The 16,094-nt window shown below is 42.7% G+C and overlaps 1 protein-coding gene and 1 long non-coding RNA gene across 12 annotated transcripts in view; one reads left to right on the top strand and one right to left on the bottom strand.

Annotated features, from left to right (window-relative positions):
• The window catches only part of CCDC30 (coiled-coil domain containing 30), a 201,084-nt gene that overhangs the window by 12,762 nt on the left and 172,228 nt on the right, over positions 1–16,094 (bottom strand). For 10 of the 11 annotated variants that reach the window (NM_001355226.2, NM_001395384.1, NM_001395517.1 and 7 more), the window contains 2 exons: positions 7,051–7,192; positions 1,820–1,956 (listed from right to left, as the gene is read on the bottom strand). In NM_001355226.2, coding sequence (NP_001342155.1) covers positions 1,820–1,956; positions 7,051–7,192 — 279 coding nt within the window. Of the gene's footprint in view, positions 1–1,819; positions 1,957–7,050; positions 7,193–13,903; positions 14,026–16,094 lie in introns of those variants that run through there. The other variant, XM_047429779.1, reaches the window with a different exon arrangement.
• Positions 1–16,094, top strand: part of LOC124904162 (uncharacterized) — a 104,986-nt gene that overhangs the window by 31,378 nt on the left and 57,514 nt on the right. The gene's annotated exons all lie outside the window — the stretch shown is intronic.

Here is a 16,094-nt window from a genome sequence, read left to right as displayed (position 1 = left end):
CGTGGGCTGGGGAAGGCAGATCCCCTCTTAATCTGGTGGGCACAATCTAATCAGCTTCCAGTGAATATAAAGCAGGCAGAAAAACGTGAAAAAGAGAGACAGGCCTCTCCTCCCAGTTTACATCTTTCTCCCATGCTGGATGCTTCCTGCCCTCAAACACAGGATTCTGAGTTCTTCAGTTTTGGGACTCGGACTGGCTCTCCTTGCTCCTCAGCTTGTGGACAGCCTATTGTGGACTTTGTGATTGTGTAAGTTAATACTTAATAAACTCCTCTTTATATATATGTATATACTCTCCTTTACATATACATATTTATGTCTCCTATTCTGTTCTTTTCCTCTAAGAGAACCCTAATACACCAAGTAAAAGTTAATAAACTTCTGGGCTGTACATGGTTATTAAATACATGTACAAGAGTATTAATTCTAGCCCTTGAAAAATTTAAGGAAGGATATGATCCCATTTAGGGTGGGAATGAAACAAGAGAGACTCTGTATCCCTTCAAATATTGTAGCTACATAGCTTGCATCTGGTTCTGTTATCATACTGATCGGATTCTGATTTCTTGTGAAGTAGAAATAGTGGTAGCAGCAGCAGCAACCATGTTTCAAGTACTTGCCATGTACTTATGCAATGTAACCTACCCACACAGTAAGCACTTAAAACTTTTCATGTATTAGCTCATTTAATATGCACAGCAACCTGATGAAATATACACTGTTGTGACAAATCTGAGCCTCAGTTTCCTTATTTGTAAAATGAGGAAATACTCCTTGGAAGAAACTTACTGTAAGGAAAACATTCAATCCAGTCCAGGTGATTGTGTCATCAGTAGGGCAAGATAGAAATATGATTAATGTTAATGCAAAGGTAATGAGTTAATTGTGTTGGATCCTGACTGTCAGAAGCTATGACAGTTTGAGAAGAGCAATGATTTATATGGGACATCTAAAAGGGGAGACACAGACAGTAAAAGATCAGAGATTCTCCAAGCCTGCCCAGAGACGTGTGCCCAAAGCAGTGGACAAGAACATTACAGTCTGCTTGGCAGTCCTCTCCCCAGACTATGGTGCTATGGTCTAGGGCCAAGCTGCTGAGGTCCACATGCTGCTCTGTCACTGACTGGGCTGAGTGAGTTCCCTCACCTCTCTAGACCTTGGCTTCCTATCTGTAAAATAAGGCTAATAGTGCCTCTCTCCTGGGATTGGTGTCAGGATTAAATGAAGGAAAGAGCTTAGAACAGTGCCTAGCATATAGTAATTGCTCAGACAAATCTTAATCATTCCAGTTATTATTGGTGACATTATTTGTTAACATCAACCCACTCTCTTTGATTATAATGAAAGTCTCCTATGAAGAAGAGAATGCTCAGGCTGGCTGATATATGACTTATTTTCTGCTTATAATATTTCTCATTAAAAATTAATACACTGATATCCTGTGGATTTCATGAATTTAAGTTACTTCTGTGAGCCTAATTCTCTCTTGTTCTACCTTGATTCCATAGGTATCCAATAATAAAAATGTGGATCAACACACACAAAATGACAGGCCAGAATGCACACAGCCAAGTCCTCAGTGAGGCAATGACATTATGAAACAGCCTATCTAAATAGCCAACCAGCCTCCTCCATGATATTTTTCTCTTTAATTTAACAATTTCTGCCACTTGTATGATCTGCCAAAAACAGCAGACAGCGGAGCGAGAGTCATAGGGTAGGCTACAAACTCAAAGGACAGTCTCTAGAACCATCTCTTTGTTGAGGGAGAAACATCCTCTTGTGGAGTTTATTGGCTCCCAGGCAGGATGGCACCTACCTGCTCTGGATGGAAGATATCGTCCATTTGTTGCTGTGGATCAACTGTTCTTGCTCTATGACTTGCTCCTGAAGTTTCCTTTTTTCTAGAAGCAGGGTATCATTTTGGGCAGTGATCTGGTCCTGTATTGCCTTCTCCTAGGGATTAGAAAGTCTCCTAATTACCACAGCAGGAGAAAGTATGATAAATTTAAGAGCATAAGCCTGTTTCTAAATCTAGCAGAAATTTTCCCTTATTTACTTTTTTTTTCCTGTCCCCTAGTCTGTTTCTATCTGTTTGCTGACATTGTCATTCACTGTAGCTAAATAGTTTTTCAATTTTCAAGAGGTTATTTTATGTCATGTCATATATATATATATATATTTTTTTGTTTGTTTGTTTGTTTAAGACAGAACTTGCCCTGTCACCCAGGCTGGAATACAGTGGCGTGATCTCTGCTCACTGCAAGCTCCACCTCCCAGGTTCATGCCATTCTCCTGCCTCAGCCTCCCAAGTAGCTGGGACTACAGGTGCCCACCACTACGCCCGGCTAAGTTTTTTGTATTTTTAGTAGAGATGGGGTTTCACCGTGTTAGCCAGGATGGTCTCGATCTCCTGACCTTGTGATCCGCCCACCTTGGCCTCCCAAATTGCTGGGATTACAGGCGTGAGCCACCATGCCCAGCCCATGTCATGTATTTTTTTTTCTTCTTTTTCATGACCCTGAAAGTAGTGAGATCATGTTGTTTTTTGTTTGTTTGTTTTGTTTTGTTTTTGACATGGAGTCTTGCTTTGTTGCCCAGGCTGGAGTGCAGTGGCAATATCTCGGCTCACTACAACCTCTGCCTCTCAGGTTTAGCCTCAGCCTCCCGAGTAGCTGGGATTACAGGCATCCACTACCATACCCAGCTAATTTTCATATTTTTAGTAGAGACAGGGTTTCGCCATGTTGGCCAGGCTGATCTCAAACTCCTGATCACAAGTGATCTGCCCGCCTAGGCCTCCCAAAGGTTTGGGATTACAAGCGTGAGGCACTGCGTCCAGCTGTTTTTTTTGTTTTTTTTTGTTTTTTTGTTTTTTTAGACAGGATCTAGCTCTGTCATCCAGACTGGGGTGCAGTGGTACAATCATGGCTCACTGTAACCTCACACTCCTGGGCTCAAGTGATCATGTGCCTCAGCCTCCTGAGTAGCTAGGACTACAGGCATGAACCACCACAGCTGGCTAATTTTTAAATTTTTTGTAGAGTCAGATGCCTGGTGCCATGGCTCACACCTGTAATCTCAGCACTCTGGGAGGCCAAAGTGGGAGGATTGCTTGAGCCCAGGAGTTTGAGACCAGCCTGGTCAACATGGTGAGACCCCGTCTCCACACACACACACACACACACACACACACACACACACACACACACAAAAGCCATGTGTGGAGTTCAAGGCTGCAATGAGCTAGGATCACACCACTGCACTCTAGCCTGGGTGACAGAATGAGACTCTGTCTCAAAAAAATTTTTTTAAGATAAAAAATAAAATAAAATAGTAGAAACAGGGTCTTGCTCTGTTGCTCAGGCTGGTCTCAAACTCCTGGCCTCGAACTATCCTCCTGCTTCAGCCTCCCAAAGGACTGGGATTACAGGCATGAGACACTGTGCCCAACCTACATGTTTCTTTTAAATAAGATACTAATGTAGGTCATTCAGAAAAGACTGGCCATCTATTATTATTATTAATTTTTTTTTTAGATAAAGTTTTGTCTTTCACCCAGGCTGGAGTGCAGTGGTGCAATCTCGGCTCACTGCAACCTCTGCCCGCTGGGTTCAAGCAATTCTCCTGCCTCAGCCTCCTGAGTAGCTGACATTATAGGTGCCCACCACCGCACCCAGCTAATTTTTGTACTTTTAGTAGAAATGGGGTTTTGCCATGTTGGTCAGGCTGGTCTCAAACTCCTGACCTCAGATGATGCACCCACCTCGGCCTCCCAAAGTGCTAGAATTACAGGCATGAGCCACCATGCCTGGCCATCCATCTATTATTAAAGACCTGTAGGATGTTGATTAGATTATGTTCCGAAAAAGCTATTCCAGATTTTAAAGTCCATCTCAGGGACCCGGCAATATCTAATGGTAGTCTGACCTGCTATAATTTAAAGACATTTAATTAATAATGTATTGGTAAGGATTGAGAATAGAAGCAATCATCCCACAGATAAACCCTAGACAGCTCTAACTGGATTAAAAAGTGTACTGCATGAGGAAGGTGACTGACACCTTGTCCTTGGGAAATACTGTATTTTTTAAAACAAACAAAAATTCCAGACACATGCTGTGATAATAGGATAAAATGGGAAAGTCTGGTTTGAGTGGTCACAACAGAAGTCTCAATTGACTCATTATATAAAGAAAAAGCTGAAGGAATGAAGCCAAAAGAAGTGGCATTACTTTTTGGAGACTTAGAAAGAAATCTGGCATTTTTATGCTCAGTGCTCTGGTCCTTGGGCCCTAAAATATACATAAAATAAGAATTCCTAGGTTTGTACCACTGTGGCATTAAAAGCTCTAACATCAGTCTTCTCTAGGCTAAGTCGTTCTAATTCTGTCAACAATTTCTCATGTGAACAATGAATCCACCAATTAACATTCTTCTAAGATTTTTTTTTTTTTTTTTTGAGACGAAGTTTCACTCTTTTCACCTAAGCTGGAGTGCAATGGTGCAATCTTGGCTCACTGCAACTTCTATCTCCCTGGTTCAAGCAATTCTCCTGCCTCAGCCTCCCAAGTAGCTGGGATTACAGGGATGAGCCACCACACCTGGCCCTTCTAAGAGATTATATACCAAAAAAAGGAAAATAACATCTATGAAAAATGTGTATGTACCAAGTACCACTTTAGAAATTGTATGTTTTAATACTCACAAAAGCCTTGTGTATGTAAGGTAGGGATTATTTCCCTCATTTTACAGATGAGGAAAGTGATACACAGAGACTTGTCCAAGCTTACAGGCAGGGCTAGAATTTGAATCCAAGTCTATTTAAGGCCAAAGCCCACAGTACCCTTCAATGGCAGTGAGCAAAAGATCCAATTATTCTCTCAGCCTCTGCTTATTTGGGAGCTCCAGCACATTTTATGAAGACCTGTGGTTCTTTGGGTAGGTGCATTAGTTTCCTAGGGCTGCCATAACATTTTCTCATAGTTTTGAGTGACAGAAATCTGAAATCACATTGTTGTCAGGGTTAATTACTCATGGGGGCTCCAGGAGAGATTGTGTTGCATGCCTTTCTCCTAGCTTCTGGTGGTTGCCAGCAACCCTTGCTATTTCTTGGCTTGTAGCTGTATCATTCCAGTCTCTGAATTCATCATCATGAGGCATTCTTCCCCTGTCTGTGTCTGTCTGTGTGTTTTCCCCTCTTCCTATAAGGACAGCAATCATCTTAGATTTATGATTCACCCTAATCCAGGATAATCTCACTTAACTAATTGTATCTGCAAAGACCCTATTTCTATATAAGGTCACATTCTAAGGTTCTAGGACATGAATTTGAGGGACGCTATTCAACCCAGTGTAGTCAGGAAGAAAGCTAGCATGCCTGTTGAAAGCAGAAGACTGTTTTTCTGGCCTAGAAGCAAAATGCAAAAGTATGAAAAAGAACTGATAATATAGAAATAGGCTGATGATATGTCTGATGGACCCATGAACTAGGGTTGCTACTTTTTTTTTTCCTTTCTTTCTCTTACTCTTTATTTATTTATTTATTTATTTAGATGGAGTTTTGCTCTTGTCCCCCAGGCTAGAGTGCAATGGCATGATCTCAGCTCACTGCAACCTCCGCCTCTTGGGTTCAAGAGATTCTCTTGCCTCAGTCTCCTGAGTAGCTGGAATTACAGGCATGTGCCACCATGCTCGGCTAATTTTTTTGTATTTTCAGTAGAGATGGGATTTCACCATGTTGGCCAGGCTAGTCTCGAACTCCTGACCTCAGGTGATCTGCCCACCTCGGCCTCCCAAAGTGCTGGGATTACAGGCGCAAGCCACCGTGCCCTGCCTCTTCTTTTCTTTTCTTTTTTTTTTTTTTTTTGCCCATGGGTGCTATTAAAATGGATTACTACTTTTTCTTATACACTTTCCATAGTCTTTTCCTAGTTCTAAGCTGGATCTCAGTCTCTAAAAGTTTGAAAAATTAATGGCAAAAAAAGGAGGACTGCAAAAATCCAACTTATTTTTCTTCTCTCACTATAGTTTAGAGTATCAAGAGGATTTTTTATTTTAGTTAGAGACAGAGCTTCTCTATGTTGCCCAGGCTGGAGTGCAGTGGCTATTTATAAGCACAATTATAGCCCACTGTAACCTTGAACTCCTGGCCTCAAGCAATCCTCCTGCCTTGGCCTCCCAAAGTGCTGGAATTACAGGCATGAACCACTGCACCCAGCCAATTTTTTAAAACTAAGAATGCAATATTTGTGACCCACCTATTATATTCCAAAAATGCTTTATTGTGTATAGTCTGGGAATTCTTGACCTAGGGTCCCAGGATAGTTGATGGAATCACTGAAATTACATTAATGGTTATGGTATCCTTGGCACACAGTGGTGGTATAAAAATTTGTTGAGTGTGGAAATGAATATTTTAGGAATGATGATAGAGTTCTCAATATTCTGAAAGGGCTAGTGACCCCAAGAAGGGAAAACCTTACTGGCCTAGTCAGTTACTCTCCATCCTGAATTTATATAGTTTAATAATCCCACAACCATTCTGCATTTGATTCTATTCATCTGTCCCATTTCCTGTTTATTCATCCACCACTAAGTCACAAGGGCAATAAGACAAACATAAAAAAGCTTGAAGGCAAGGACTGATAAAGGAGTAAGGATCACCTATTTTCACTGCCATTTAAAACTGACACTGAAGTCTGAGGCAAAATGAGGGCTCCACAAAGCAGAAATGAGTTACTGAGAGTGGTTTGGAAGTCTGTGCTCAGGAGTGTTCAAGAAAAGGCATTTCCATCTGAAGAAAGACATTGATCATAAGTTGGCAGTACAGAGTATTTTCAGTATTCAATTCCGTGTAGCAGCACTAGGAGTCTTATGTACTTTTGGTCAGGGCTTAAAGAATTACTTATTGAAAGATGGTGCAAAGAAAAGAAATGAAAACGAGGACTATGAAGGGGTCTCAAATAATTTTTAAAATGAAAAGGCTTTCTCCAAATGGCTGACCATGGGAATCACCAGTGAGCTCTTCACCTTTTATTTTTTCCTCACCTTTTCTATTTTATGTTGCAGGATTCCAATTTCATCTTCAAATTGGTTAATTCTCTTATCTCGTAGTTCTACTTCATTAGTTAAACGATACTTGACTTTTTGAAGCTTGACTTTTTGTTGGTGATGTTTCTCATTATAGTTTCTATAAAAGTAAATTTGAGTTTAGACACATCTGAACACAGTTAAAATTTATTTTGCATCCTCAATATGCACCTTTCTTGGGTGTCCTCTTCTTGCTTAAGTCAGGGAACTGGCACCGGATGTGGATACTTATCCTGCCTCACATCTTCTTGCCCTCCATTTCAGGGAGTGGGCCAAGGATAACCCCCTATATAACACCAGCTTTAACTACTGCTGTGGACTCAAGTATTTGGCTTATCTTGGTCTTTTTTTTTTTTTTTTTTTTTTTTTTTGAGATGGAGTCTTGCTCTGTCGCCCAGGCTGGAGTGCAATGGCAGGATCTCAGCTCACTGCAACCTCCACCTCCTGGGTTCAAGCGATTCTCCTGCTTCAGCCTCCCGAGTAGCTGGGACTACAGGTGCCTGCCACCATGCCCTGCTAATTTTTGTATTTTTAGTAGAGACAAGGTTTCACCATATTGGCCAGGCTGGTCTCGAACTCCTGACCTTGTGATCCGCCTGCCTCAGCCTCCCAAGATGCTGGGATTACAGGCATGAGCTACCGCACTTGGACTACCTTGGTCTTGTACTGATGGTTGTGGTATAACTTTAGCATCTGAGTTTAATTTAGGAAACTCCTTGATTTTTTTATTGTGGTATAACTGATTTTTTATCCCTGACATCTAAATTCTGACTCCTGTTCCACTAATTCAGTCATTAACTTAAAATTTCCTCGTTCTTGGCTGTATCTTGGACAGTGATATACTCCCTTCAATCTTATCTAATTTCCAGATGGCTTGGCCTGTTCTCAGTCCTTGCATTGAGTCTGGACCTCTTCTTCTTCTTCTTCTTTTGAGACAGGGTCTCACTCTGTCACCCAGGCTGGAGTGCAGTGGTACAATCATGGCTCACTACATCCTCGACCTCCTGAGCTCAAGCAATCCTCCCACCCCAGCATCCCAAGTAGTGCACACCACCACACCTGGTTAATTTTTTTAATTTTTTGTAGAGATGGGTGTCTCACATGTTGCCCAGGCAGGTCTTAAACTCTGCCTCAAACTATCCTCCTGCCTCAGCCTCCCAAAGTGCTGGGATTACAGGCATAAGCCACCCAGTGAATCTGGACTTCTAAAAGCCAGTTCCATATAGGTCACTTTCAAGACTCTGATTCTTAGATACATCTAAGTTATGGCCAATAAGCACATGAAAAGATGCTTAACATTACTAGCCATTAAGGAAATGAAGATCAAAAGCACAATGAGATACTGCTTCACACGCACTAGGATGGCTAGAGTAAAATGACAGATAATAACAAGTGCTGACAAGGATGCAAAGAAATTGGAACCCTTATACACTGCAGGCAGGAATATAAAATAGTATAGTCTCTTTAGAAAACAGCCTGGCAGTTCCTCAAGTGGTTAAACATAGAGTTGCCATTTTTTTTTTTTTTTTGAGATGGAGTCTCACTCTGTTGCCCAGGCTGGAGTGCAGTGGTGCGATCTTGGCTCACTGCAAGCACTGCATCCCGGGTTCATGCCATTCTCCTGCCTCAGCCTCCTGAGTAGCGGGACTACAGGCACCCACCACCACGCCTGGCTAATTTTTTGTATTTTTAGTAGAGACGGGGTTTCACCGTGTTAGTCAGGATGGTCTCAATCTCCTGACCTCGTGATCTGCCCGCCTTGGCCTCCCAAAGTGCTGGGATTACAGGCGCCAGCCACCACATCTGGCCTAGAGTTGCCATTTGACCCAACAATTCTACCTAGGTCTATATATTCAAGATAAATGAAAACATATGTCCACACAAAAACTTATACACAAATGTTCATAGCAGCATTATCCATAACAGCCAAAAGGTGGAAACAACCCAGATTGCCATCAACTGATGAGTGGATAAACAAATAGGGTATATCTAGCCAGGCACGGTGGCTCACACCTGTAATCCCAGCACTTTGGGAGGCCAAGGCAGGTGGATCACTTGAGGTCAGGAGTTCAAGACCAGCCTGGCCAACATGATGAAACCCCGTCTCTACTAAAAATACAGAAATTAGCTGGGTGTGGTGGCGGGCACCTGTATTCAGGAGGCTGAGGCAGGAGAATCACTTGAACCCAGGAGGCGGAGGTTGCAGTGAGCCAAGATTGCGCCCCTGCACTCCAGCCTGGGCAACAGAGGGAGACTTCATCTCAAAAAACAAACAAACAAAAAAAACCAAATACGGTATATCCATACAATGTTATAAAAAGAAAGGAAGTACTGATACATGCTACAACATGAACCTTGAAAGCATTATTCTAAGTAAAACAAGCCAGGCACAACAGACTCCATTTATATGAAATGTCAGTAATAGGCAAATTTAGAGAGAAAGAAAGTAGATTAGTGGTTGCCTAGTCTGGTGGTGGGAAGGGAACTGGGGATAGAGTGATAGTTAAAGAGCATGGGGTTTCTTTTAGGTTGATAAAATGTTCTAATGTTGATTGTGGTAACAATCAAAACATGGACAAAAGCCATTGAACTATACACTTTAAACGAGTGAATTGTATAATATTTGAATTATATCTCAATAAAGCTGTTTAAAAAACCAAAGAAACAAAAGTCTAAATTACCATTTCAAGCTACTATAATATCTAATCAGAGTAAACAAGAAAATAGATTAAAGCATCCATACTACCACTAGCCAAACCTCATGGAGCATGAGTGCGATACAAACAAAAAGAATGTTGTTCTTTAAAGTTAAGGAGAAGCTTCACTTTGAACCTACTAGATGTGATTACACCAAATAACTCTAAACAAACCTCTGCATTGTTCACATTTTAGGCCTGATAAATATTTGCTGTGGAAGGCTATAATGTGCACTGTAGAATGCTTAGTAGCATCATTGGCCCCCACCCACCAGATGCCAGTAGCACCTCCTACAGTTGTAACAACTAAAATGGTCTCCAGACATTGCCAAATGTCCCTTTGCCCTGGAAGGCTGTAATGTTTTGTTTTTTTTTTTTTTTTTTTTTTTTTGAGACAGTCTTGCTGTGCAGCCTTGATCTCCCCAGCTCAAGTGATCCTCCCACCTCAGCCTCCTGAGTAGCTGGGACTAGAGGTGTGCATCACTATTGATACGGTTTGGCTATCTCCTCACCGAAATCTTATCTTGTAGTTCCCATAATCCCCATGTATCATGGACGGGAGGTGATACCTGGTGGGAGGTAATTGAATCATGGGGGCGGTTGCCTCCATACTGTTCTATTGACAGTGAGTGAGTTCTCATGAGATCTGATGGTTTTATAAGGGGTTTTTCCCCTTTTACTCAGCACCTCTCCTTGCTGCCACCATGTGAAGGACGTGTTTGCTTCTCCTTGTGCCACGATTGTAAGTTTCCTGTGGCCTTCTCAGCCATGCTGAACTGTGAGTCAATTAAATGTCTTTCCTTTATAAATTGCCCAGTCTTGGGTATGTCTTCATTAGCAGCATGAGAAGTGACTAATACAACTATGCTCAGTTAACTTTTAAAACAATTTTTAGTAGACGCAAGGTCTCGCTATGTTGCCCAGGCTGGTCTCGAACTCCTAGCCTCAAATGTTTCTCCCACTTCAGCTTCCCAAAGTGCTAAGATTACAGATATGAGACACGGAGACTGGCCTGGGAGGCTGTGACATTGACAAAGATAGATTTGGTCTCCCTCCCGGTTTCCTGGTGGAAAAAAACAAAAACAAAAAAACCTCTTAAGTCCTTGGAATCTACTCTGGAGTAATAAGTGTCTTTTGTATGTTAATGAAATGACTGGTGTCTGGAGGCCCTTAGAGAGCTTCAGGATTCTAAGGTATGATTAGAGAGTTGGGGCTTCCAGGTGCATACCCTTATCATTCAGGGAGGGGAGAGGATGAAGGTTGAGTTGAACCACCAATGGCCAAGGATTTAATCAATCATACTGAGAAAAGAAAAATAGCTCAGAGCAGTCTGAGCTATGTGAAGCATGCAAAATTCATCAGGCCCAGAGACAAGAGTATAGAACTTCAGTCATTACCTGCCCCCATTCAGACTTTTTATAACTGAATTTGCTTGGGGGTGACTGTTTTAAAATCATTTTGTTTTTGACTAGCTCCCTCACTCATTATTTTCTGTTCTTGAAATTTGTGATACAAAGAATAATGTATAGCTGGCCAGGCGTGTTGGCTTACACCTGTAATCCCAGCACTTTGGGAGGCAGAGGCGGGCAGATCACTTGAGGCCAGGAGTTCAAGACCAGCCTGGCCAACACGGTGAAACCACATCTCTACTAAAAATACAAAAATTAGCTGGGCATAGTGACGCACATCTGTAATCCCAGCTACTCAGGAGACTGAAGCACCAGAATTGCTTGAACCTGGGAGGCAAATGTTGCAGTGAGCTGAGATCGTGTACTGCATTCCAGCCTGAGCAACAGAGCAAGGCTGTCTCTGAAAAAAACAGAACACTGTATTGCCAATCAATGTATAGCTTACGTTATTTATTTACTTTTTTTTTTTTTGAGATGGAGTTTTGCTCTTGTTGCCCATGCTAGAGTACAATGGCACGATCTCGGCTCACTGCAACCTCCGCCTCCCAGGTTCAAGCAATTCTCCTGCCTCAGCCTCCCAAGTAGCTGGGATTACAGGCATGCACCATCACGCCCGGCTAATTTTGTATTTTTAGTAGAGACAGGGTTTCTCCATGTTGAGGTTGGTCTCGAACTCCTGACCTCAGGTGATCCGCCCACCTCAGCCTCCCAAAGTTCTGGGATTACAGTCGTGAGCTACCGCCCCCGGCCTTATTTACTTATTTTAAGGTAGAGTCTCACTCTGTTGCCCAGGTTAGAGTACAGTGACATGATCTTGGCTCACTGCAACCTCCACCTCGCAGGTTCAAGCAATTCTCCTGCCTCAGCCTCCTGAGTAGCTGGGATTACAAGTGTGTACCACCACGCCCACCTCAACCACAGCAGGATAGGGCACTGGTCAGAGTAATGAGGCCCCCTTTCCAGGCCCTAGCTCCTGGACATACCCTAAGCCATAAGGAAACCCGCTCCTTTGAAGGGAAGGACCCAGTCCCAGCAAGATTCATCATCTGCTAACTGAAGAGCCCTTGGACCCTGAGTAACCAGCAGCGATACTCAGATACTATATTAAGGGCCTTGGGTGAGACTCTGAGACTTGCTGGATTCAGGTGACAAGACATTCCCAGCTGTGGTGGCTACAGGGTGAAACTCCTGCTTGAGAAAACTGGAGGGAAAAATAAAAGGGACTTAGTCTTACAGCATAGGTATCAGCTTTGCCACAGTAGGGTAGAGCACCAGGAAGGCTCTTGGGGTCTATGATTCCAGGACTTGGCTCTTAAACAGCATTTTTGGACATGCCCTGGGCCAGAAGGGAGCCCATTATCCTGAGGGTGAGTACCAAGCCAGGCAGCATTCACCACAAGCTGATTTAGGAGACACTGGGCCTTAAGGGAACATTGGCGGTAGTCTGGCAGTACTCTCCATGGGCCTGTGATGGTAATGGCTATGAGGTGAGGGTCCTCTACCTTTGGAAACGGGAAGAAAGAGTGGAAAGGACTGCATTTTCGGGTTTGAGTACCAGGCTAGCCACAATACAACAGAACACCAGGTGGACTTCTCAGGTTTTTTTATTCTAGTCCCTGGCTCCCAGATGGCACCACTGGACCTGCCTGGGGCATGGGGGAGCTCGCTGCCCTGAAAGGAAGGACATAGGCCTTGCTGGCTTTGCATCTGCTGATTGCGGAGCCCAGGGACTTGAGTGGTCATAGCTGGTAGCCAGGGAGTGGTTACAGCAGGACTTGGGAGAGACCCAGTGCTGTGCTGGCTTCAGGTATGACCCAACACAGTCCTAGTGGTGGCCATAAGGGTGCTTGTGTCATGCCACCCCCAGTTCCAAGTGGCTCAGAACATAGAGAGAGACTCCATTTGTCTAGGAGAAAGTAAGGGAAGAGAACAAGAGGGAAGAGAACAAGAGTCTCTGCCTAGTAATCCAGGGAATTCATCCAGATCTTTTCCAAGACCATTAAGGCAGTACCTCTACCAATCTGCAAGAACCATAGCATTACTGGGCTTGGGGAGTCTCCTAAAGCAGGTAGAGCTTAGATGACAACACCCAAGTACTTTTGAATATCTGGAAGGTCTTCCCAAGAAGGATGGGTACAAATAAGCCCAGACTGCAAAGACTATAATGAGTATCTAACTCTTCAATGCCCAGACACAGATGAACATCTATAAGTACCAAGACCTTCCAGGAAAACATGATCTCACCAAATGAACTAAACAAGGCACCAGGGACCCATCCTGGAGAAACAGATATGTGACCTTTCAGACAGAAAATTCAAAATAGCTGTTCTGAAGAAACTCAAAGAAATTAAAGATAATACAGAGAATGAATTCAGAATTTTATCAGATAAATTTAACAGAGATTGAAATAATTAAAAAGAATCAAGAGGAAATTCTGGAGCTGAAAAATGCAATAGGCATACTGCAGAATGCATTAGAGTCATTTAATAGCAGAATTGATCAAGCAGAAGAATTAGTAAACTTGAAGATAGACTATTTGAAAATACACAGGGCCAGGTGCGGTGGCTCACGCCTGTAATCCCAGTACTTGGGGAGGCCAAGGCAGGCAGGTCACCTGAGGTCAGGAGTTCGAGAACAGCCTGGCCAACATGGCAAAACCCTGTCTCTACTAAAAATACAAAAATAGCTAGGTGTGGTGGCACGCACCTATAATTCCAGCTACTCAGGAGGTCGAGGTAGGATAATTGCTTGAACCTGGGAGGCAGAGGTTGCAGTGAGCTGAGTTCATGCCATTGCACTCCAACCTGGGCAACAGAGCGAGACTCCATCTGAAAAAAAAAAAGAAAAAAAGAAAAAGAAAAGTAAATACAAAAGCAGAGGAGACAAAAGACAAAAGGAATAAAAAAGAATGAAGCACACCTACAGGATTTGGAAAATAGCCTCAAAAGGGCAAATCTAGCCAGGAACAGTGGCTCACGCCTGTAATCCCAACACTTTCGGAGGCCAAAGTGGGCAGATCACCTGAAGTCAGGCATTCACAACCAGCCTGGCCAACATGGTGAAACCCCATCTCTACTAAAAATACAAAAATTAGCTGGGTGTAGTGGTACATGCCTGTAATTCCAGCTACTTGGGAGGCTGAGGCAGGAGAATCGCTTGAACCCGGGAGCTAGAGGTTGCAGTTAGCTGAGATTGCGGCACTGCACTCCAGCATGGGCAACAGAGCCAGACTTCATCTCAAAAAAAAAAAAAAAAAAAAAAATAGGGGGACATATCTAAGAGTTATTGGCCTTAAAGAGCGTGTAGGAAAAGACACAGGGGCCCATGCAGCGGCTCACGCCCGTAATCCCAGCACTTTGGGAGGCTGAGGCCGACGGATCACGAGGTCAGGAGTTCAAGACCAGCCGGGCCAATATGGTGAAACCCCATGTCTACTAAAAATACAAAAATTAGCTGGGTGTGGTGGCACACACTTGGGAGGCTGAGGCAGAAGAATTGCTTGAACCCGGGAGGCAGAGGTTGCAGTGAGCCGAGATCGTGCCACTGCACTCCAGCCTGGGTGACAGAGTGAGACTCCGTCTCAAAAAAAAAAAGAAAAGAAAAAGAAAAAGAAATAGGAGTAGGAAGTTTATTCAAGGGGATAATAGCAGATAACTTCCCAAACCTAGAGAAAGATATCAATATCCAAGTACAAGAAGGTTATAGAACAACAAGAAGATTTAACCCAAAGATTACCTCAAGACATTTAATAATCAAACTTCCAAAGGTCAAAAATAAAAGATACTAAAAGCAGCAAGAGAAAAGAAACAAATTACATATAATAGAACTCCAATATGTCTGGCAGCAGACTTTTCAGTGGAAACCTTACAGGCCACGAGAGAGTGGCATGACATATTTAAAGTGCTGAAGGAAAAAACTTTTACCCTAGAATAGTATATCCAGTGAAAATATCCTTCAAGCATGAAGGGGAAATAAATACTTTCCCAGACAAACAAAGCTGAAGGATTTCATCAACACTGGTTCTGTCCTACAAGAAAAGCTAAAGGGAGTACTTCAATCAGAAAGCAAAGGACGTTAATGACTAATAAGAAATCTTCTGAAGGTATAAGACTCACTGGTAATAGTAAATACATAGAAAACCACAAAATATAACACTGTAACTGTAGTGTGTAAACTACTCTTAAGTAGAAAGACTAAACAATAAACCAATAAAAAATAATGACTACAACAATTTTCAAGACATAGTACAATAAGATATAAACAGAAACAAGTAAAAGTTTAAAAGTGGAGGGATGAAGTTAGGGTATAGAGTATTAGTTTTCTTTTTCCTTCTTTGTTTATGCAAACCATATTAAGTTGTAATCACGTTAAAATAATTAGCTATAAGATAGTGTATTAGTTTGCTTTCAAGCTGCTGATAAATACATACTCAAAACTGGGAACAAAAAGAGGTTTAATTGGACTTACAGTTCCACATGGCTGGGGAGGCCTCAGAATCATGGTGGGAGGTGAAAAGCACTTCTTACACGGCAGTGGCAAGAGAAAATGGGGAAGAGGCAAAAGCAGCAACCTCTGATAAACCCATCAGATCTCATGAGACTTAGTCACTATCACGAGAATAGCACAGGAAAGACTGGCCCCCATGATTCAATTACCTCCCCCTGGGTCCCTTGCACAACATGTGGGAATTTTGGGAGACAAAATTCAAGATAAGATTTGGGTGGGGACAAAGCCAAACCATATCATTCTGCCCCGGCCCCTCCAAATCTCATGTCCTCACATTTCAAAACCAATCATGCTTTGCCAACAGTCCCCAAAAGTCTTCATTCATTTCAGCATTAACCCAAAAGTCCACAGTTCAAAGTGTCATCGGAAACAAGGCAAGTCCCTTCTGCCT

This window comes from Homo sapiens, chromosome 1 (genome assembly GCF_000001405.40).
Source record: "Homo sapiens chromosome 1, GRCh38.p14 Primary Assembly".
In the NCBI taxonomy this organism is placed as follows: domain Eukaryota; kingdom Metazoa; phylum Chordata; class Mammalia; order Primates; family Hominidae; genus Homo; species Homo sapiens.
The sequence above is the reverse complement of the archived record's forward strand: the minus strand, read 5'-3'. Positions and strand labels throughout refer to the sequence as shown.